Source organism: Homo sapiens, chromosome 12 (assembly GCF_000001405.40).
Source record: "Homo sapiens chromosome 12, GRCh38.p14 Primary Assembly".
NCBI lineage: Eukaryota > Metazoa > Chordata > Mammalia > Primates > Hominidae > Homo > Homo sapiens.
Genome location: NC_000012.12, coordinates 108,036,910 through 108,061,072, shown reverse-complemented (window position 1 = coordinate 108,061,072; position 24,163 = coordinate 108,036,910). Strand labels below are relative to the sequence as shown.

General features: G+C 43.6%; 1 annotated feature.

Moving 5' to 3' along the window:
- Positions 20,283 to 20,816: an enhancer, noted in NCBI's record as "NANOG hESC enhancer chr12:108434034-108434567 (GRCh37/hg19 assembly coordinates)". NCBI's record gives its function as "activates a minimal SCP1, AML or CMV promoter by ChIP-STARR-seq in primed H9 embryonic stem cells {active_cell/tissue: H9 hESC(primed)}" and the evidence as "EXISTENCE:reporter gene assay evidence [ECO:0000049][PMID:30033119]".

Below are 24,163 nucleotides of genomic sequence, written 5' to 3'. Positions count from 1 at the left end.
AGGAGTTCAACTCCTAGGCAGCTTTTGTAGTGCAGGTCCTATCACCTCTCTGTCCTGTTTTCTCACTTGCAAAGTGGGGTTAATAATTATTTAAAATGCAGATCCCCTGGCTAGTGATTCAGGGACCTGAATATGGATTGCTGATATGAGCAATTTAAAAAAATCCCCTACCAAAGTGCACTGATGAGTGCCATTTACTTTGAAATGTATCAAAAAAGAAGGAGGGGCAAATTGATAGATAAGTGATAAAGCATGAAAAAGAAAATGGGGGTGGATAAAATTCTTTCAACTTTGCTATAGGTCTGAAACTTTTCATAACAAAATGTTGGGGGGACTTCCCAAGTGATTCTTGTTTGATGCAGTGGTCCCTGTCTGCTCCTTTGATAAGTCAATTTTATGCCCAAAGCAATTCAAAGCAAGACACAGGTGAGGCAGAGTAAGGTGAGGGCTGGAAGCACTTATCTTTCTAGGATTCCCTATCTTGAGAACTTCGGTCTTCTTTTTGCAGTTTCCTTTTGTTTGGGAGCTGTCAGTTCTGGAGAGCATGTCCCCAATAAGGCTCTCAGCTGAGATTGCTGGCTTTGATAGTAAGAAAGTGGGAGTAGGCCATAGGTACCTGGAGAAGTGACAGAGATGAATGCCATTGGGCACAAGACGTATCTTGAAGCCACCAGATGTGACTTCACTGTGGGGCCCATGATATTTCCCAGTGCTTTGGAAATCACTTCCATTCATCACCCTTTATGCTTCTGATTCATCTTGCAGGCAAGACAAGTCGTTTTATGCTGAAGCAAGAAAGATTCCTTTAATAGCCCTCTGAATCAGCGGGCTGTTTATTCTCTCTCTCCAAAGGCTCTGTCAGCTCATGCTGGATCTGTCCAGGTTCATCCTAAAGTGCTTCCCTGCAGCAGACAAGGCCACAAGTGGCAAACCTCATTGGTAATTCACCCAGGCCCAGAGAGATGGTCACACCATAGTCAAAACAACAGGGGTCATGGTTAACAAGGTACCTTTTCATCATTGGTACCCAGGAAATGACAAGAGGACACTAGGCATCGTCAAGGACTAAAGAATGAAAAACTGCATCTATTCTGAGGTTTATTTGTTCTCTTTTTATGACACAAAAGTTAACTTGACTTCTTCTTACAGAGTTCAATGCCTAACACATCCAAATGCAGTCACTGTCTTTGGCCTAAAGCCTGATGCATAGTAAACATTCAATAAATTTTTGAATGAGGGGACCATATAGAATTAATAAGTGAATTAATAAAATAACATTAGGCATCATTTACTGAATAAATTGTATACCAAATTATAGTAGACTGTTTCAAAAATGGCTCTAATTATTCCCCTCCCTATAACTACACTCCTTTGCAATGTGATTTTGCATCCCCTCCCATTAAAAGATGGAGTCTGTTTTCCTGCCCCTGATTCTTGATTGGCTTTGTAACTTGTTTTAGTTGATAGGATGTGACAGCAGTGATTGGGTGTCATTTCCAATCCTAAACCTCAAAAGGCCCTGTGAGTGTTCCCTCACTGTCTTGGACCCCGTCACTTGCCAGCTGGAGGATAAAAATTAAATAGAGCAAGGAAAGATGGTCCAGCCAGGGCCATCCTAGATCAGCCAGCCCCAGCTGACCCAGCACTGATGGAAGCAGCACTGATGGAAGCCACACTGAGATCAACTGAGTCTAGAACTGCTTACATGAACACAGCCCAAATTGCTAACTCTCACTCAGCATTGTTGGCTTAAGACACGAAACGGTAGAGTTGTTTTCTTATTAACAGCAAAAGCTGACTATTACACAAGTACCGTGTCACATACGTAACATATTTAACCCATACAGCAATCCTCCAAAGTAGGTGTAATAGATACAGTTATCTGTCTTCCAAAATATGTTCTTTCCTTATTCTACACTAAGATAATTCTAGTTAGGACACTGTGACGCAGCTAAGGACTAAATTTCTGAGCTCCCCTTGCTGTTACGTGTGGTAATGTGAGTGTTTTCTTGCCAAGAATTGGCAGAGCGGAAATGACATTACAAATTCTACCTCAATTGCTTAAGAGAAAACCCCTAGCTTTGGAATTCTGCTATTTTCCCTTTCCTGGTGACTAGATGGGAATAACTAAAATGTCTGTGTGTTGGAGATAGCAAACCCCATCAGCCTGAATCCCTGAATATTCTTTGGAGGGGGCATGCCCTAGACTGTTACATGGGCGAGAAACAAACTTCCGACTTGTTGGAGCCTCTAATGCCACATAGCCTGTTTGTAATAGCAACTAGTATTATCCTAATGCAATAGAGATTTTAATCTCCATTTTACAGGGGAGAAAGAAGAGGCTCAGAGATGTGACATGACTGGTCTCTAAGCTGCACTTTTCAGCAGAGTAGCCACTTTACCCACATGTAGCTACTTAAATTAATTAAAATTAAATTAAATTAAAATCCAGTACTTCAATCACACTAACCACACGTCAAGTGTTCAACAGCCACATGTGGCTACTGGCTACCTTATTGTACAGCACAGGTATACTACATTTCCATCTGCACAGAACGCTCTATCAGATGGCATGGCAAAACCATGATCCTAACTGAAGTCTGAGTGACTTCGTGCTTTGCTTACCTGCCTGCCTCCTGCTATGCAGAATTATTATCAAGAGTTGCTCCCCTGGTGCACGTATGTGTTTGTTTACAGATCATTATTATCTATTTGTCAGAGAGGATGGAAGGAAGTGGAGACTTATAATTAAAGGATGATGGCAGCTGGTGAAAGGATCAATGAGAAAAAAGAAGTCATCTCTGAAACATTCACACTAAGTCATTAAGAATACCACTTGAGGCTGGGCGCGGTGGCTCATACCTGTAATCCAGCACTCTGGGAGGCCAAGACAGGCCTTGGGTTAGGAGGTTAGGAGATCGAGACCATCCTGGCTGACATGGTGAAACCCCGTCTCTACTAAAAATACAAAAAAAAAAAAAAAAAAAATTAGCCAGGTGTGGTGGTGGGCATCTGTAATCCCAGCTACTCGGGAGGCTGAGGCAGGAGAATGGTGTGAACCCAGGAGGCGGAGCTTGCAGTGAGCCAAGATCGCACCACTGCACTCCAGCCTAGGCAACAGAGCGAGACTCTATCAAAAAAAAAAAAATTCACTTGATTTGTCGAAGTTAGACATGAAACAATATAGGCACCTCTACCTCCACTCATTCCTTTAAAGCAGGGTGGCCCACCCTGGGCAAGATTAACTGCTCTTTCCTTGCAACTGCTAAGGAAGGGATTCACATTGATCTGTCTGAGATGGTTATGGTCAAAGAAAGCCTGTCGGTTTGCAGGGCTGTTGGGTGCTGCTGGATATATTCACCACACTGGTCTAGCTGGGTGAGATATCAGAATGAGGAGGATAGGGAGAGCAGCTCAAGAAAGAAAAACCCACGGGATAATGTCCCAAAGGGGAAACTGGGCATGGTGGTGTGGCCATGCAACATTATCTCACCTCTGTCTTCCAGCTACAGTCAGCCTCAAGCTGAGTATACAGGTCCTTCTTCTTTTGCCCCTCACTTGATTCTAAGGATAACCAGGATGGCAACTACATGCATGTGCTTTACAGATAGCTGTTGAGTACTTAACGGTGTGCCGGGCAGGGTTCTAGTCACTGTGGGGATGCAGCAGTGGAAAGGGTCCTTGCCTTCACAGGTGTAGTCTAGTTAGGGAGAAAGATAAGTGCACAGGACATTATGATAAAGGGTTTCCGAGCTAGAGGAACATGTGGCGTGAGGGCTGTGGGGAAAAAGAGAAGGGTCTATAATGGGCTAAATTGTTCCGCCTGCACCATAACCCATTCACATGTTGAAGTCCTGACCCCTAGGACCTCGGAATATTGCTGTATTTGAAGATAGGGCCTTTAAAGAGATCATTAAGCTAAAATGAGGTCACATGGGTGGGTCCTCATCCAATACAACTGGTGTCCTTATAAGAAGGGGAGATTAGGACACAGACAACACACAGAAGGAGGAGCGACCATGTGAGGATGCAGTGAGAAGGTGGCCATCTGCAAGCCAAGGAGAGAATCTCAATCTGCTGACACCTTGACCTCGGACTTCTAGTCTCCAGAACTGAGAAAAAATTGTCTGTTGTTGAAGCCACCCAGTCTGTGGCATTCTGCTATGGCAGTCCTGGCAAAAAAATACAGTGACCTAATTCAGTTTGGGGTGGAGGACATGTCAGAGAAGGCTTCCACTAAGGGGTGGTTATTGAGCATCAGTAGGGGAGCCTGACAAAGGGGGTGGCCGGGGGAAGCTGAACATGCTAGGCTCCAGGAATACCATGTGGAAGGCTTTAGAATATGTCACAGATGATCTTGTGAGTCAAACTAGGGAATTTAGTCTGTTTCCCAGAGGCAATGGGGAGCCCTTGTGGAGATAAAGCAGAGGCATGGCATGATCAGGTTTCATTTTACAAAGATAGTCTTGAGTGCATCTATATGATAGATTTCAGGGGTGAGATGGGGGACAAGCTGTGGGACAGACTGAGAGGCTGGGCAGCGGTCCAGATGAGTGATACTGAGAACTTAGACTAAGCAGCAACAAGAAGAAAGAGAAGAGGTCAGTTTGGTGAGATATTGAAGGAGACAGGCATTGAGGATGGATGGACATAGTAGCTCAGAGGGAGACAGGAGAATCCTTAATTTGGTCCCCAGTCATAGACCCTGAGATAGGGATTCAAGAGGGAGAATTACATTTAGAAGGTGAAGGTGGAGGAGAAGGGGAAAAAGAAAAAAAGAGAAAGCAACAAATAAAGGAAATGTTTTCTGCTCAGCTACCACTGTGTGAAAGCGGTGCTTAATCCTGCCAGGGAGCTGTGAGAGACAGTGTAGAACATCACCCCAGAGTAATCCCACTTGAGCAGCAAGGGAGCTGGGGTGAGTATACACAGCTCCTGTCAGTATTAGCTGAGGGCTGCTTCTGGGAGGTGGGCACATATTCTTCAGAGCATCTGAGCCACCATATAGGCGGCAGAGTGGGCTGTAGTGACAAGAAACACCCTCAGGCCACAAAATGCAGGAACTGGTAGTTGCATATCTGTCTGATACATTCTGAAGTGGTAAGAAGGAGAGATACTGGAAAGGTACAGTTTCTGCCCCAAGAATCTTGGGTGTCCCAGCAACTTGGCTTGAGTATTCAGTACTTCATGTACTGAATTGGGGAAAAGAGGAAAAAAAGGAGAATATTTTAGACCCATTGCCCTACCTATGGACATACTGGTTTAGTGACTCGTGGAGAACTCCAAAGTATGAAGCCAACAGTACATGGCTAATATCTAAAATCATGGGAGAGGGTGCAACGGCCAAGAGGAAATGCACAGCATGAAGAGGTCTGGGGCCCCAAAATGAATCCCTGAAGAGCACCCACTCCATATAACACTCAAGGCCCCAAACTCCATCACTGGGTACTGTATAGCTCAGGCTGCTATAGATAAAAATCTCAGGGCAGCAAAGGGGAAAGTGATTACTAAGAAGAAGTATCTGAATTAAGGAAATAATTCTCTAGCCTTTTTTAATTAAAACCTTCAACCCAAGAAGCTTGTTAATTTTAGCTTCAGCAAGTGGTTCTGCAGCCACTCGGCATCCTGCTGCCTGTGCATGGTCTGCAGAGGCAGCCTCTGATTTCCCTAATTTGTGAGGCACTCATGCTTCGGGTAGCAGGCGGGTGATTACAGCCAGATGGGAAGCCAGCCCTCCAGAAGCAGATTCCTATAGGATTTTTGCAGCCAACAGGAGGCTGGTGGGAATGCTGGGACCTTTGTCACCCCCACCTCCCCCCCACCAACTCCCTCCTCTTTAGATGCATTTGAAGGCCAAAAGAGGAAAAATCCCAGTTGCAGGGTGGTTGGCAAAGAGATTCTCAAGACAGGCTGGTTAAGCACTCCCCACTGTGTGAATGAAAGAGTAATGTTAATTCCTGATTAGCTCCATGGACAGACTAAGAGAAGTGGCTAGTATTTATTGAGTTCTTTCCATATGCCAAGCATTGTGTTCATTATTTTAGTCCCTCATGACATCCTTACAGTAGGCCTGTGAGTTCAATAGTATGGTCATCTCCATTTTACAGATAATACAACTGAGGCTCAGAGAGCTGTAGTGACTTGCCTAAGGTTACACTTGCCCCTAGCAAGTGGCAAAGCCAACAATTCAGATTCCAAATAGTATATAAAGGCAGCACTAATGAGCAAAGGCAGAAACATGGAATCTGGAGACACAAAAACTAGTTTGGAGTCACTTGCCCATATGTGACACGCTTTAAAAATGTTAGCTGTTAACTGTTATGATGATATCTCATACTTCAAATAGGCTTTTAAGACTACTATCTCAGGCTGGGTGTGGTGGCTCATGCCTGTAATCTCAGCACTTTGGGAGGTCAAGGTTGATGGATTGCTTAAGCTCAGGAGTTTGAGACCAGCCTGGGCAACATGGTGAAACCCTGTCTCTACAAAAAAATACCAAAAATAAATTTTAAAAAAATTAGCTGGGCATGGTGGCGCCCACATGTGGTCTCTACTCAGGAGGCTGAGGTGGGAGAACTGCTTGAGCCCAGGAGGCAGCAGTTGCAGTGAGCTGAGATTGCACCACTGCACTCCAGCCTGAGAGACAGCGTTAGACCCTATCACACACACACACACACACACACACACACACACACACACACAATTAAAGACTACCATCTCAAAGGCTCATGCTCAAGGATGTTTATTCCGGCATTGTTTATTCATAACTGAAAAGTTGGAAGTAATCTGGATGTCTAAAGATAGAGCATTGGCATAATAAATTATGGTAAATCCATACAGTGTAATAGCGTGTATGTGTTAAAAGTCACATGTAGACAGGTGGTTAATGACATGGGATATAAAATTAAGTTTGAGAGTTCTTCTAAAACAGGTTACCAAAAAATGTGATACCTTTTGTATAAAAATTATTTGAAAAATGATATGCATACATATATTTATATATGCATACATATATGTATTTGAAGATTGAAAAGAAAGACAGTAAAATACATTTTCTTATTTCCTCTCAACGTTGTGATCACAAATGATTTTAGTTTTCTTCTATGTGTATTCTGTATTTTCTACACTTCCTACAATTAGTAATGTCCTTTAGCAATGAGAAAAAAATACATAATTGCATTATGTTTTAAATCTGACATACTCTAATTTATCTTATTATTCTCTCACCCTTGACTTTCATCTTCTGTTTGCTCTGTGATCTCTGCTTACTTGGGCATTCATTTTTCTCTTTCAGGTGTGGTTTCTTTTTCAAATACTTAGAGATCCTGGGTTTATGCTCATCTTCGTATTTGAGGTACAGGCTGCATGCCTATGAGCAGGGTTTCTATTTCCTGACACCTGCCTCTGAGGTATCTGGGGGTGAGATGCTGCAGAGTAGGTGGGGAGTATCAGCTGCTTGTTTCTCCATGTGGGAGGTCCCATCCTCCCGGAGTTCAGAGCAGCCTAGGGCACCGCTTGCACTTGAGTCCTGATGTCCACACTTCTACTGACCCCAAGTGAAGAGGGTAAAGCACTCTACCAGCCTCACTAGGCGAAACAAAGCCCACAAATCACCCCCAAAGCCACCCCAGAGCTCTCTTCTGCTTCTTCATCAACTTACTCCAAGCTTGGAGCAGGATTCTAGGCTGTGGCTTTCTCTGGAGTCCCTTCTCTATAGACCAGATAGCATCTAAATTAAGTCTTTCAGAAGTTCTTCAAAATGACAGGTCCATGGTAAACACCCAGTTCCCCACCCCTACAACAAAGTTGTAGATAGATTGGGCTTAAAATTATTTTTTTCTCTTGTTTTTATGGAACTTGGGTCAGGAGGAAAGGAAGTTTTTGTGATAAGTCCTCCATCTTGATTCATTTTCTAAATGTTCTAAAATATTATTTTTGATTGAACCATAATGATATGGTTTGGCTGTGTCTCCACCCAAAATCCCATCTCGAATTGTAATCCCCATAATCCCTGTAATCCTCACATGTCAAGGGCAAGACCAGGTGGAGGTAACTGGATCACGGGGGCGGTTTCCCCCATACTGTTCTGATGATGAGTGAGTCTCATGAGATCTAATGGTTTTATAAGCATCTGGCATTTCCCTTGCTTGCACTCACTCCATCCTGCCACCTTGTGAAGAAGGTACCTGCTTCTCCTTCGCCTTCCATCATGATTGTAAGTTTCCTGAGACCTCCCCAGCAATGCATAACTGTGAGCCAATTAAACCTTTTTCCTTTTTAAATTACCCAGTTTTGGGTACTTCTTCATAGCAGTGTGAGAATGGACTAACACACATACTAAGAAATAAAAATAATTTTAAACATGCGCTCTATCTTCTTGTGAGAATCAACTGAGACAAAGTCAACAACCACCCCTCCCCCGCCAAATTGCTTAAACTTTAAAGCATAGTTTGCTGCCGTGATTGTACTCATATGTTTTGATGCAGAATAGAATGAAGAGGATGCTAGCATGTGAAAGGAAAGGAAACCTGGGAGGCTGGCCTACTTAGTGGTTTCTATTGTAGGTCATGTGGAAGCTGATAGCAGAGCTTCTTAGGTTGACAACCCCCACGGCAGAACCCTCAGTCTCATCAGTTTGGGGAGGGTGAGGCTTTGGGAGGGTTAAGCAGCTCCTCATATGTCACAGCCAGGACTCAAAACGTAAACCAGGTCTCCAGTTAGAGGAGGCCACGGGTATATAGAAGCCTCCTGAGCAAGTGACATGACAAAGAACAAGGACTGAGATACATGGCATGTCTACATGAAAAGAGAGTGCAGGATAGGAGTTAAGAGCTTGGCCTCCCAAGACGTGACTTGGAATCTTGATTCCACCCCCCAACAGCTGGGCACTCAGGCCAGCAGGTCAATCTCTTGTGAGTTAAGTTTCCTCACTGTAAAATGGGGAAAATCATACCACCTACCTTTTAGGAACATTAGGAGGACAATGAGATTAATTCATGTGAAACGTTCTTCCTGTCTGATAGGTGCTCAAAAATGTTCACTATTAGTTTATTCATTCACTAAATAAGCCAGTATTTACAGATATTCTACTAGGTGTCAGGATCAGGGGAGAGTCAAGAACTACAAAGTCCCTGAGTCCCTGGAGCTTTCATTTTGGAGGTGAGACAGACACTAAACAAACAAACAAAAAAGAAACACGAGCCAGGGAGAAGTGCTTTACAGAGAATGATACAGGACAGTGTGATCAAAGCTAAGGAGTGGCAACTGTCAGCTGGGGGTCAGATAGGGCTGCTCTTGGGAGAGGCCATTGGGCTGAGATATGAATGAAAAGAAGGAATGAACAAGAAAGGGGAGGTCAGGGAAGGGCACCCCAAGCAGGAGGAATGGCAGTGCAAATGCCCTGAGGCAGGAACTGAGGAGAGACTGGGAACTTCTTGGCCATTGCAGCTGGAGTGAAGCGGGTGACAGGATCAAGAAGTAAGTGAGGCCCAGTGGATCACGCTTTAAAGCCAAGGTCAGGAGATTGAATTTTATTCCGAGACCTGCAGAAGGCTTTTTAGAGTTGCAAGCAAGGGGCAATATGACCTTCTTTAGGAGATTGTGGTGGTTGTTCCACTTGCCTCCTGTGTCCTGTAAATTCTGAGGGCAGACACCAAGCCTGATCCATCCTTGCAATCTCCTCCTTCCTGGTAACAAATGGCCAGTAAAGCACTCAACAAGCCTCTCTGGGTGAAACAAAACCCACAGATGTCCCCCATAGCCACCCCAGGGCTCTCTTCTGCTTCTTCATCTGTTTACTCCAAGCTTGGAGCTGGATTCTAGTCATTGGTGTTCTGTAAATTCTGAGGGCAGACACCAAGCCTGCTCATCTTTGCAATGCCATCCTTCCTGGTCCTAAGAAACTGCCCTGGGCCCCTGAAAATATTTGTCAAATGAATAAAGAAACAAAGAAAAGACAGATGGATGTGTTTCCCTTAAATTTGTTGTAAGCCTCCTCCTGTTTCTGCCACATCGTCTCAGAGGGAAAGGAGTGTCAAGTTGATTCTCCTTCTCTCATCTTTGTGAGAGAAGCCCTGAGGCTCTGTAAGGAGATTTCCCCTCCATCAGCAGGAGATGGATAGGCTGGCTCTGCAATTCTCCCGTGTGAGACCCTCCATTACTGAGGGGCTGAGCAAGCGCGATGATTGGGAAGCAGGGTGGTGGGGGAAATGATCAGCCATTTGTTATCAGCCTTGGAGGAGCCAGTAGTGTGACACAGATAAATTGGGTCCTTGGAATTCTAAATGAAACTGCTTCCCTGGGTGGAATAGTCAGGGTTCAACCCCAGCCCAAATGTCTGGCCCTGGAAGGCATTGCAGAGAGACTCTGGTACCCACGCTCCAGTCAGTGCAGGATTCACAGGCAGTCCTGTGCAGGCTCAATCACATTGACCCCAAAATGAAAGAAACACCCAGCTCCCTGCTGAAAACTCTTTTGCTCTTGTTCTGTCTCTCTCTTTCTCTCTCTGTCTCTCTCTGTCAATCTCTCCTCCTCCCCACATTTTCTATCATTGTTTAGCATTGCCTCCTGGGATTCCAACATCTTCCTTCTATCACGCAATGCTAATGCAGGGATGGCACATAAATTTGATCCACTTGCCAGTTCAGATTGAGGGACAGTGGTTACCTGTGTTGAGAAGGCTTCCGAGGTTTCCTCAGGGCTCAGATAGAGAGAAACTGACTGATGAGTGACATTTTGCAGGACATATGATGGGGACGATGAGGGTCTAGAGTTACAGTTTTTTATCCTTGTTCTGAGGCCTAGAACGTATAATTTTTTTCCCAATGCATGTAATTCTGGCTTTAATTTTGCCTCAATGGAATAATTGTAATATCTGTCATAATCAAACGCTTAAAATATGCCAGTCCCTGAGCTAAGTGTTTTACATATATTATCTTATTTAACCTATATTACTACCATAGGATATCATCCCAACTATTTGACACATAAGAAAATTCAGCCTTAGAAAGACAGAGTGACTTGCCCAGGGACCCTCAGTAAGTAGTGGGGTCAGGATTTATTGGAACCCAGCTCTGTCTGTCTCCTCTGTGGAGGAGCTTCCACAGCCTCCTTCAGGACCCAGTGTTTGCATTTTTAATATCTACTCTCACAAGAAGCTCTCTCCCATATTTAACCTATACTCCCTTGATGCAGCAAAAGCATAGTTCATGTTAGAATTCCACAATCTAAATTCAAGACACAGTAGGAAAAGAAGTAGGAAAAGAAGAATGTAAATATCACACTAATGATATTTTATGTTTATTGCATGCTGAAATTAAAATATTTTTGCTACATTGGCTTATATAAAATATATTATTAAAAATGATTTCACCTGTTCTTTTGCTGCTTTTGTTAATGTGACTACCAGAAAATTTAAGATTACACATGTGGCTCACATTTGTGGCTTGTAAATGTTTCTAGTGGATGACACAGCTCTTGAGCTCAGTCACTCATTCTAATCCCATCTTTTTTTTTTAATTAAAAAAATTTTTTTAAGAGGTAGAGCCTTGCTCTGTCACTCAGGCTGAAGTGCAGTCATGCAATCCTATCTCACTGCAGCCTCAAACTCCTGGGCTCAAGCAATCCTCCCACCTCAGCCTCCCAAAGTGCTGGGATAACAGGTGTGAGCCACTGTGCTTGGCCCCAATTCCATCATTTTTAACAGGTAAGGAAATTGCCCACCAGAGTGGCACAGTGACTAGCCTAGAGTCACATCACTTTTGACAGCAGATGAAGGACCACATTCTAGTTTTCTTGTGCCCAAATCCTATGCCCTTTCTTCCTTAGTGGAAGAGGAGCTGGCTGGAAGCCTTTTTGTCCTCCTTTCAAACATACTTTCACACTGGGGAAAAAAAATGAATTTAGACCAAACAGGAAAAATAGCCATTTTTTTTCTCACCCCATATTTCATGGAACGTAAGAGGGCTGTCCCCAGTGGTAGTCATGTTGCCTCGATTGCCTTAGCCTCGAGGCCTCAGGGAACTCAGGCACTGATGATGTACCTGACCCATGTAGAAGGATGTCCTAGTTGTGCCTCCTGCTAGGAACCAGGCCATGTCCCCAGCAAGTATGTTCCTGGAGACAACAGCCTACACAGATCCTTGCTTGGTCTCTGGGAGTCTGGGACAGCTGTGGAACTTCAGCGCCTTCTGAAACAACTCTGCAATTAGCTATTGCTCCAGCTGGCACCGAGAGCCTTGGGCTGCAATGATTTGATGCCTCTACTGCCTACCAAATCCCTTCCTTCTGGCTCGTGGCTCTCAGCTTTCTCTATAACTGAACCATACAGCAAGGAGGAGGCATGATTTCTGCACTAATTGAGGCTGACAAACTCTTTGGGATTTGATTGCGGCTCTTGAGATGTAGTCCTGAAATGCAGATCTGACTGCCATCCACCTGCTTAAAACATTCTCAATGGCTCCCTGTTACCACAAAGATGAAGTTCATATTCTTCGGCTGAACCATGTCCAGCAGGGCACTCTAGACGCCTCCAGGCTACCACTTGTAACAGATACTGCCAGTTCCTCACCTACATCCCTCACATCCAAGCACTCCAGTGTGCTTCAGATAACTTTCTACACCACTATGTGTAGCTTTCCCCTCCCCCTCCACAAACCTCAGAAGGCTGCTCTGCATGCTAGCAAGAAGTGCTGGGGAATTCACTCCTTGAAGCAGCAGCCCTCAACCAATAAGTGAGGGGAGTGGACATATAGATACCCTAGCTCCCTTGTCCCTCATTGGTGTGTGTTTTATACCATTTCCCAGTAACTCTCCCTGGGATGAATCTCCAGCTGCCCTCCCTGTATTGACTGTCCTCTGTTTCTTACCTGTTGCCCAATCTCCTTCCTCTATTTCCTTGAAATCATCTTCTGAACAAATCACTTGCACTGGAATCCTTATTTCAGGATTGGCTTTTGGGGGAAGCCACCTAGGATGCCTCCCAAACATATCTTCCCTTTCCTTCCTCCTGATTTCCCTTTGGTGTGGGGATTTACCACCTTCCCATTATGTAGCAACCACATGGTGTGATTGGCACTAATTCTACCCCAGCTCAAGGGGAGATTGAGCCAATCCCTAGGCTCAAGTCAGGATAGAACATTCTTTCTTACCTTTCCATTGTTCCATGCCCAACACCCTCCCTAATTTAAGCCAGTGACCTTGAAATGCAAGGTCACAATATAACATCCTTCCACCCTTCGAGGAAAAGAGTATATCAAATCCAGAAACTCAGACAGTCTCAAAGGGAGATGTAGAAATTTACCATGAACAATTATTGAGCCCTGGGCATTGGACTAGATGACTCACATGAATTATCCCCTTTATTCTTTACAATATTCCTACAAAGTAATTACTATTATAATCCCCATTTTACAGTTGGGGAATCTGAGTATCATAAAGGTTAAGTCCTGTAGTTCAGGGTCACCAGCCAGCTAATGCTGGCTTTCAAGGCCAAGCAATCTGACTTCAGAACCTTCCCTGTCAATCTGTACTCCATACTGGGTCCCTTGGAAAGTATGGAGACCATTGAGAGATACACTTTGGAAAGAAAGCATTACATAACTACATTATGCAATGTTTCCTGGCTGAGCCTCCAAGAAAGAATTTCTGCCGGAACTAAAGATGATTCTGGTTTCCTTCAAGGGAAGTAGATATTTTTGATGTCATCAGAAAAAATACTCTGTGGTTTTCTGTTCTATTTTGGACTTCTTCTATTTTGGTCACATACTTACTAAAAATGAAGAATTTTCTCTCCCTCCTTGGCTATTTACTCCAGAGGCCCCACCAACCATTCTGTCTCATCCATCCATTCACAAATCATAACTGAGAGCCTGCCACGGGTCAAGTGCTGTGTCAGGCACTGTGTCACCACAGCCAAATATATAGCTGCACTTTTTCCCTCCAAAGTCGACAATCTACACGGTGGTTACCGTATTTTCAGCTCCCTTCACAAAGAATCAATGTTTTGTTTCGTTTTTTAATTTGGAGGCTGTGCTGAGGGAGGAGAAACAAGATACAGGCAGGAAACATCCTCAATAGAACCTTCAAAGTCAGAGTAGATTAAAAGCAGAGAACAGAGCGCTGTTTTGGGGTCAGTGCAGCCATAAATGCAGGAAACACAGCAAGTTCTACAGCCAGAGCCGTCCTCTCCTGGACGCCAGATCCCGACGGCGTGGTCATCAGCAATCAGAGTGGGAACAGAGGCAGGAGTCTGTACGAGACAGTGCGCTGAGCATTCTCAGCACTCCCCAAACGCTTTTCCTCTCAGCTCAGCAAAAAGCCTCCCTGGCCGACTGCAAATGGCCTTTCGCTCGCTCAAAGTTCTGCCTTTCTGGAATTTGGAGGAGAGGAGTTCTGTTTTTGGAGGCCATTGTGGCTGACCTTAGATTTTAGGTAAAGATATGCAGCTCTTATAGAACTGCTTGAGAATGGTCCCAAATGGAGCAGCGTCTTCCCAGGGCTTCATATGGTGGGTCCCTTTGACCCTCAGGAAGTTATCCCACTCTCTTAGGCTTTAAAGGACAGAGAAACTGGGCTACTAACGCCCTCCTCATGGAGTTGCTATGAGGACGAATTGTGATCGTGTACGCAGAGCATGTGGCTTGAAACCTGGCTGCTGGAAGCATCTTACTCTCTCAGGGAAGCCCAGTACCCACTCGGCATTGTTCTACATCACGTGACCACAGCCTCCAACTCCAGTCACAGCTGATTAAACCAGCAGAGTCACATGACTGAAGATCAACCAATCCTGAGGCTAGTGACAAACAATACTTGTGGCAGCTTGAAAAGGATGGGCTACAACTGCTTCCCGAAAGGCGGGACGGACACAGTGGGTGGTACCTGACATGAAACTATTTTGGTGAGAATACGTGACTTAAAAAAAAAGTTGTTATGCTTTCATTGTAATGTATACCAGGAAAATGCTTGTTTTCCATTTGTGATACTGATATAAAGTTCCCTTTATGATACATAATATTAAGATGTATAAAAAATGGTTTTTTGAAAAAGTATTAAGTAAAATTTTAGCCCAGTTGGTAGATGTCTATGGCAAACAATGGCAGGCGAATGACTAACACACGACAAAGTCTCAAGGTCTACATTCCCCTCTCAGGGAAATGAGAGGCTGGGTAGCTGGTGAGGGCTGAAGGTGAGGGGGTTGAGTTGGAACCACAGCAAACCAAAGCCGTGAGTGGCAGCGAAGGAAATGAAACAACAAAGAAGATAGGAAACCTGGTTGGTGGTGTGATAGGAGACTTGAAAAGGTGTGCATGAAGGAGGAGAGAGGTGAAGAGAAAAGCAGTGGAAACAAAGGTAGAGATGGAGAGACAGAGACAAAGGGAAAGGTAGTGAGACAGAAATAGAGACAGGTAGAGATACCCTGAGTTATACCTTCGTGGACTCCCTGGATCTACCTCCACTCCACACATGTTCTTACAATGTATCCTGCTTTTCTTCCTGAGATACCTTGAGTGGGTCTCACAGCAGAAAGCCTAATATGATGAATGGCTATGAAGGAGTAACCCTATTTTGAAGATTCTTGGGCACCAGCCAGCATATTTTAAGCCTCCAAGAGCAGGCTCTGTAGGGGCCATTGAGGGTTCTTAACAAAGTAGCAGACAGGCACTAGGCTAAGGTAAGAGAGATGCCTAGGGAGAAACTTGGGGAGACACTCATTCACAAACCCAGACATCAAATTCCAGCAGATTGGCTGATTTCTAGAGCTCCTCTTGAAACTTTATGGAATTTACTGATCAAAAAGAGTATTGGCAAGTATGTGAGGCCCCACTCTATCCAAATCATGACTGCCCATCTCTAGAACTTTGCTACTTTGGAAGCAAATTGAAAGAAGTAGCTGCTATATAATTTAAATTCTGCTAATGTGTATTTACTATCTACACCCAATTATCACCAATCAATTTAACAGTTATTACTTAATGGGTGAAAATTACAATTCTGGTGCCCCAGATCAGCATGGGGCATTGTGGCTAATTAGGACAGAACTTATTCAGAAGTATAATGAAAATGTAAATTCCCACACATTAATCAAACAATTATTTCTATAACCACAAGACAGCTGATCCTAAGCCTAATTAGGAAATAAACAAAGTTAATCAGTGAGCAGACAACATTTAATAATCATATATGTGTCACAAGAAGAGAAATATTAGGCAATGATTCATCAAAACATCCCAAAGCCCAACCATTCTATAATCTATAATAATACAGCCTCCCTGCTTCAATAATGCAGTATTCAAATTTTTATTAAAGGCTTTTTTCGCTTTAGGGTCTAGAAGGTACCAGAGAACAAAGAAATGTATTACCATGTATAATAAATAATTGTACCACTTAAAAATAAGTGCCAAGAACTGGAAATGTATGTATGTGACATGGTGGATACATACGGCACACTTTAAGTTTAATTATCAGAGTTTAGTTCTTTTCAGGTAAGATAGAGGGGGAATAGGAACTAATTCCAATGCAGACATAAAAATTATAGAAAGACATAAACTAAAGCCAGTTGTGTTTCTCTCTCCACTGCACATCTTTAGCTCGTTGTCAAAACTGCTGCCTGTACAATTTTGGGTCCAAATGTGGATTCTTCACCTCAACTTGCCTCAGCTGCCGATTGTCTCTTGGGGCTTTTACTGTCCTTAGTGGCTCTGGGAGGCTCTGCCTGACCATCGTATGGATCTAATCATGGCACAAACCCATTCGGCGGTTTCCAAAGGGATGTTTGCTTTTTCCTCGTGGAAGTAACAAATGCACAAAATGAAATTTGGGAGGCTGGTGGGGGAAGAATATCTAAAATGAAAATTTTCCTAAGAGGAACATGTATTTGGCCAAGATCAAACTGCACAGCAGAATGTAATAATAAAGGCCAAAACTCTGCTCCCTTCATAGAGCACCAAAGACAGCCCACTGGAGGCTTAGAAAGAGCACACTATGAGACATCCTGACCCAGGGAAGAGGAGACAGGCATCAGAGCCTGGGTGATACAGCCCCACCATTTCTGCACAGCCCTGGGCCTTGGCCATGCTGAGAGTCTGGCTGTGTTCTCTGTGAGTGACAGGAGGGACTTGCACCATCGCTGGCCAGAGGCAGGGTGCTCACAGTGGCTGTATCAGTGTGGATGGGGACAGGTCACATTCCTGAAATTTATTAGGCCAGCCATTGTCAGCTGCTCCACTGCCTCTCCATGCAAACTCAGCAGTGAAAGCTGCATGATTTCAGTAGTTGGGGGCTTCAAGTACATTGATCTTATCTCAATTGCTATAGCCAAATTGTCTTTTTATCCGCATCCGACCTACATAAGATAGAGAAAATATCCATCACTCATATCAATGAATAATATAATTTGAAGTGGGCCTTTGAGATCATTGCAGGGGGTATAAAGCCCATACCACCCCAGGCTGTGTCAGTAAGCCCCCACACCCAAAACGGTCTCTTTGTTTCATTTTCTCTCCCCAGAGCCTCAAATCCCTCCTATCTCACAGCTTTGCATTTTTATTATTACAAAGACACAGTTGGCTGAAGGATTGGATGAAGAATTTGGCTCTCCTCCCTGCTTTTTCCTGAACAGATCTCCTTAAGCTGCAGTTTGTGTTTATTTCCTGGCATTTTGGCCAGACAGGCAGAGCCCAGAGAGATGCACACGGGAGTGTTAGGGGTAAGGTCAAGTCCCACTCTCGAAGACACAAAGCAGCTCCATTGTTAAAGCAGCACTTGAAATAACATTTGCTTTTTCTAGTGTCAATCTATAATTTCTATTTATTATGGCAATTTCAAAGAATGCCAGTAAACAAATAGAAGTAAGTAAAAGTCACCCAGGCCCCCACACAGAGATTGTAACTCAACATTTTGGTAAATAACCTCATGATCTTTTTTTTTTCTATACCTGTAGTCATTTTTCATTATAAAAATGGCACGATCTTGTTCAAACTTTTGTGTCATTTTTTTCTGCTTGATGTATTGTGAGAATCATCTCATGCCTTGCAAATCAATTAACATTATTTTTAATGACTGTGTAATGGTTCATAGGATGGCTTTAGCCATCTCCTCTTGTTGGCTAGTTGCCTGCCCTCTGCCCTTATTATTATAAATCATACTACTGGCCAGACTTATAGTCTTTTCACAGACTTTCTATTCCCCCAGATATTTCTGAAGTTCCTCAAGGGTGATCACACCATACTTGATCTTTGTCATGCAAGAAAGAAGTCTACCTCTGACATCAAGGGCAACATCTCATCACTAGAGACCACATGATGTACCTAGGTTCTTCAATATGATAGATATGGAAGCCCGATGCCTTCTAGCATTCTTTTCTTGTTCAAGGCCTACCCTGACCTTGCCCTTGCCCTTTATTGGTCCATTCCCATATGGAAGCAAATCCCTATTTTAAATCTTCCATGGTACAAGAAAGACCTGGCCATTAAGTTTGTCAAGAAGTTGCTGGACATCCAGGAAGGATTTGCAATCAAGGGTGCAATTTATTTCTGCTGTTAGAGGTGGCTTGTCTCAGAACCCCAGGCTCCAAGCCTACCCTAGAGGCCTTTATTGGCTATCCCTTGCCTGGCTGCAGTCCTGCCTCCAAGAGCCAGAGGCAGCTGACCCCGCCCCACCAGGGATGCCCTGGAGCACACCTGCACTCCTGGGGTCCAGACCCCCTTGTCTAAAGTGCCACCTTCACTGTCCTCCTTATCCCTAATTTAACAGTGGGAATTGTAGAAACAAACAAAAGACACCCAAAAGAGAAAAGTAAACCTGTTTATTCATAGCTTGCTATAGCAAGAGAGTCAACCACCATTACATGCATTTGGCAAAGGAGTGGGAAATCTTTATGGGGAAAACATGAAAAGTAGCAGGTGTGCCCTGATTGGAGGCTGTTGGCATGGGGAAGCTGTAGGTGAGCTAACTAAAAGTAGGCATCCTACGGAATATAGTTTAGATATTTGTCCCTTCCAAATCTCATGTTGAAATTTGAACCCCAAGGTTGGAGGTGAGGCCCAAGGGATGTGTTTGGATCATGGGACTTGGTGCTGTCCTCACGGTAATGAGTGAGTTCTCACTCTGTTAGTTCCCACCATATGTAATTGTTGAAAAGAGCCTGGCACTTCCTCTCCTCTCTCTCTTCCTTCCTCCCTTGCCACATGATGCTGGCTCCCCTTTACCTTTCACAATAAGTGGAAGCTGACTGAAGCCCTCACCAGATGCAGATGCTGGCACCATGCTTCTTGTACAAACTGCAGAACTGTGAGTCAAACAAACTCATTTTCTTTATAAATTTTCTTTATAAATTATCCAGCCTTGGGTGTTCCTTTGTAGCAACAAAAAATGGAATAAGACACTATGGGAGTGGTTAGCAGAGCTCATTTTCCTTTCCTGGTTGGTCCTAAATTGGAAGTGGGGGTGAAAATTAGGGAACCTGGCAGTTATTGATCAAGTCCTTGCTGTTTAAGGCTAATTGCTGCAGAGATTGTGGTTTGGCTTCCTGGGTTGCTTGCTGCAGAAGTTGTAGGTCAGAGTTCTATTTTTATACATGATCTGGCCACTGTCCATTTGTATGTTCAGTCCCAGAGTGGTCAACTTCCTTTATGAGAAGCTTCATCAATACCAGTGGGGTGAGTTGGCACATAAGAATAAAATCTGCCAGCATCAGCACCTTTCCTGAAGCCTGACTTACTTAGTCTTCAATAGCACTGTCAAAAAAAACATTTCCACTTATATCAGTGCTTGCTTAGAGATACCCAAACTGACTATTGTGTTTCATCACAAATTGTAACTAACTGAAGCTGATAAAAGACCACAAACTCTTGATGACCCTGCATGCCAGCCCTCACTGGAAGTAACTGAAGACTCTTTCCTGACCAGTGGATCTGTGTGCAGACTGATGAGCTCATTCTTCCTGTCCACAGGACTAGCTTTCAACGCCTCATTACGATAGTGCCATGAAAATCCCTTTTTAGCACTTAAAACTCCTGACTTCATCCCCTCTGTGAATGACCTGCTCAGTGAAATTTCTCACTGGCATTCTTTTGCTTGACAACTTAATAGACTCAGTTTTGTATTTTTTTTTTCAGCTTATGTGGTATGTGTGTATTTTTTTACTATACCATATCTATGACCTCAACTGCAGAGTCCACATTTTGGGATCCCTCAACTTGGACCACATACTTTTTAAGCTGGACTTTCCCGTCTTTCCTGCAGCCACCGGGGCTTCAGATCCAGCTCCCCATCAGCTACGCTCTGTCACCAGTATGCAGCGAGCCTTGAAGACAAGCAGTGGGATCCAGGCCTCCTGCACGATGCCACCCAAATCCATACCGGAAAAAAAGAAATATACTCCCACTCACCCCAATCAAAACAAAGTCTCCAGAGAATTAGGAGGAGCTTGGCTTAACCATTTGCATTTAAGATAGCTGATAATTCACAGCTTTCCTTGAAACAATTGACACCCACTTGCTTTGTACTTAGTATAGCTAAAGGACCTGTTCAGGTGGTTTTTCTAGAACAAAGGAATGGTTGGTCCCAAAGGGTGTCTAAATCCCAACCACTTGCCAGGCAGAAATCTGCTTCCAGCTTTAAAATGGGAGTTTTTCAGCCGCTGCTAGTCCAAGTGAATTTTTTATACCTTTTGTGAGTATCTGTTATATCATGAAAACAGAAAGGTGCAATTCACCACTTCTTGATGATAGATTTTCCTAGTGCGCTTTCAATGGGTTTTAATCGGCCTAGAACAAAGAAAATTGTACATTATATAAGATTGTAAACTTCATGAGATCCGTATTTTTTTTCATTAAACTCACACAGAATAATTTTTTCCCAGGACCTTGATAATAGTAGATACCCAATAAATATGTTTTGAATGAGAAAATGCATCAATTTATCAGGAGTGTTACAGGTTAAGAGAAAGATTTGGGAACCAGGTACTCAAGAACTCCTGAGGCCTACATGCATTTGTGAGAGGAAAAAGGAGCTGAGGAAAGGCAAGGGAAAGGAAAAGGGGAAAGGAAGGAGAAGGGAAAGGAGAGTAGGAGAGACAAGAAAAGACAAAGAAAGGAAGGATGGAAGGAGAGTGAGAGGAAAGGAGAGAGAGGGAGGGAGAGAGACATGGAGATAGGCAGATGATAGACAGATGGATAGATAGATAAGACAGATTACATGGACGGATAGATAAGATAGATTGGCCGGGCGCAATGGCTCACACCTGTAATCCCAGCACTCTGTGAGGCCGAGGTGGGCAGATCACTTGAGGTCAGGAGTTTGAGACTAGCCTGGCCAACATGCTGAAACCTCACCTCTACTAAAAATACAAAAATTAGCCAGGCATGGTGGCATACACTTGTAATCCCGGGTACTTGGGAGGCTGAGGTGGAAGGATCGCTTGAACCCAGGATGTGGAGGTTGCAGAGAGCTGAGATCGAGCCATTGCACTCCAGTCTGGGCAACAGAACGAGACTCCATCTCAAAAAAAAAAAAAAAGATAGATTAGATGGATAGATGAGAACATGATTAGATAGATAAATAGATTACATAGATAAGATAGATGATAGATAGATAGATAGATAGATCTTCAAAGTAAGTCCTCATCTAACTTATTGACAAGCTGAATATTCAGAGAGCATAGACTAAAGGGAGATGGACTCAAGCATGAAGACGAAGAGAAAGGTGGGATCTGGGGTCCTGTCTTTAAGGACCAGTAATCACACCCACCAATAACATGCAGTCTAGTCAGTATCCCAGGCATTGACTAATCAGTTTAGCAACTCCTTCTTTGGTGTGAAAGAGGCTGTCAGGGGCTGAAATGTGGGGAAATATCCCTATTTACACACTTTCTTCCTATAGTGTATCATAAAACAAGTGCTCAAAGGGAATGTGAACCCCATCATGTTCCTGAGGTATGACAGTGGAACATGCTGGGGAATGTAGAGTATTACTATTGCAATGTCATTATCATGGGTCTCGTTTTAGCGAGAAGGGGGTTTCCTCCCATCCTCTGAGATAGAAGTAGCAAAGTGTGATGTGTTATGGAGGCAGACTTGGGTTTGTATGTCTATCACACATTTATAAGCTGTGTGATGTTGATATGTTAGTTCACCTCATTTTCCTCATCTGTAAAATAATGATAATAACAGGACCCAACTCATTGAGTAATGAGGAGCAGCAGAGAGAAGGGCTTTATGCAAGCTAGTTCTCTGCCTCCTTTCTCAACTTAGAGGGCACTGAGACTCCATACTAGCTACAGAGGAAGAGCTCAAAAATGTCAGTGGTGGTGGTGGCTGCAAGTTAATCTCTGGGCAAGAAGAGATCTTGTGAAAGAAGCATTTTGGAAAGGCCCCTTCCCCATCCCTACCTGTGTTATACATTTGACAATTCAATCCACAAATATTTGTTGAGCACCTGCTATGCATTGAGAACTGTGCTAAGCACAGGGGACACAACTAGATGATTTTGTGTTTTTGCAGCTTCATATGTAGATATATCTATATATGAAATTATATATATATTTTTATATAATATATATTATATATATTTTTATATAATATATATATTATATATATATTATATAACTAATATATATTATATATATATATATATATATATATTTTCACTCCCCACAATGAATGTTCATTGCTATAACTTCTGGTCAGATTCCACCTCCAGGCCAGGGTGCTGCTCCCCGCAGACCACCTGTTGGAGACACAGGCTTCACTGTGCCTCAGTCTCCAAAGTGGAAGCCTTTCTCACAGTGCCCAGGGCTCTGTGATCCTCAGATATCCCCAGCCCCTCCTTGAGTCTAGCTGTTTATCTAACCTCATTATCATATATCTTAGGGTAACAAGATTCTCCTGTTCAACAACCATGATGCAATAATTCCCTTCGTTGGTCCTGGAATGTCGTCTTTTAGAAGCAAGATCTAAGTCTCATCTTTTAGGAGCAAGATCTAAGTCTCATCTGTGCCCTCTTCTGCATCAAGCGTGTGTGTGGTCAACAAAGGTTGATGGGGCACCTTCGATGTCCACAGGGATGGCCACCACAGGCTCTGCCTTCTAGGAGATCACAGGACATGGGGGCAGGGAAACAATAGCAGGGTGTGACCAGTGCTATAGTCAGTATATATAAGGGGCTGTGGGGTGCAGACTGGGTAGGGGCAATGTAACCTGTGGGCCAGAGAACTCACCTACCCCAAGGCATATTGACACAGAGAAGTAGCACTTTCCTGACATTCAACAGTGACAATAAATGATTTGGATTATATTTCTGCTTCCCATATTCCTTGGTTTTACAGCTTCTGGTCATCCCTTTGCTCAGCCTTCATCTTTCCAGATGGTTGCATTCTAACCATGTTTTGTGGAGGATGAAGGGACTTCATTTGGCCTTTGCAAATCAGTCTGATTTAATTTCTTGGTGTTTCCTAATGCAGTAGGATTTTTTTTTTAACAGTGTGAGGGTTGAGATCTGTTCAATACATCCACTTTGTCAGCGGATTGTGTTCAAGCTGTTCTTTCCCTGTGGAGCTCCGTTTCAAGAGTAGGGGATATCCAGGGAGGTGTTAGATTCTGTGCAATTAATGTGCCTCACTCTAGCTATCAAGAAGATTCCAGTATGGGATTTGGGTGATGTTGGCACATGCTGGCTGCGCTTTGTGTCCAGCCTTAACAAATTTCAGTTTAAGAGGTCACCTTTCAGTCATTCCACTAGCTTTGCCCCATTTAGCGCAGAGCAAATCTACAGAAATATGAGCTGTTAAAAAGACCATATTTTCCAAATCTAAGATGCCATAGGTTGTAAGACACACTGTTATTGCATGAACCACTGGTAAAAAGAAAATGATATCAATTATTCTGACACAACACTTTCAGTCAGTTCATGGCAAGAAACATCCTGATATCAGAGTTGTTAAAATGTGGAGGAAAATATGCATCTTAGCATCGATAACTGCAGTATAGAGATATCTCTGTCTTTCTCTTTCTCAATTACACTCTCATTGGGACAATTCTGTGCCTCTGATGAGCAGCCCTTCCCACACACCTCTCCATCCACAGAGCACAGATCTGAACAAAACCCCCATAACCTTCTCACTTTAGAGAGAGCCAAGGTCTCCCGGGCAAGGTGAGATGGTGGCCTT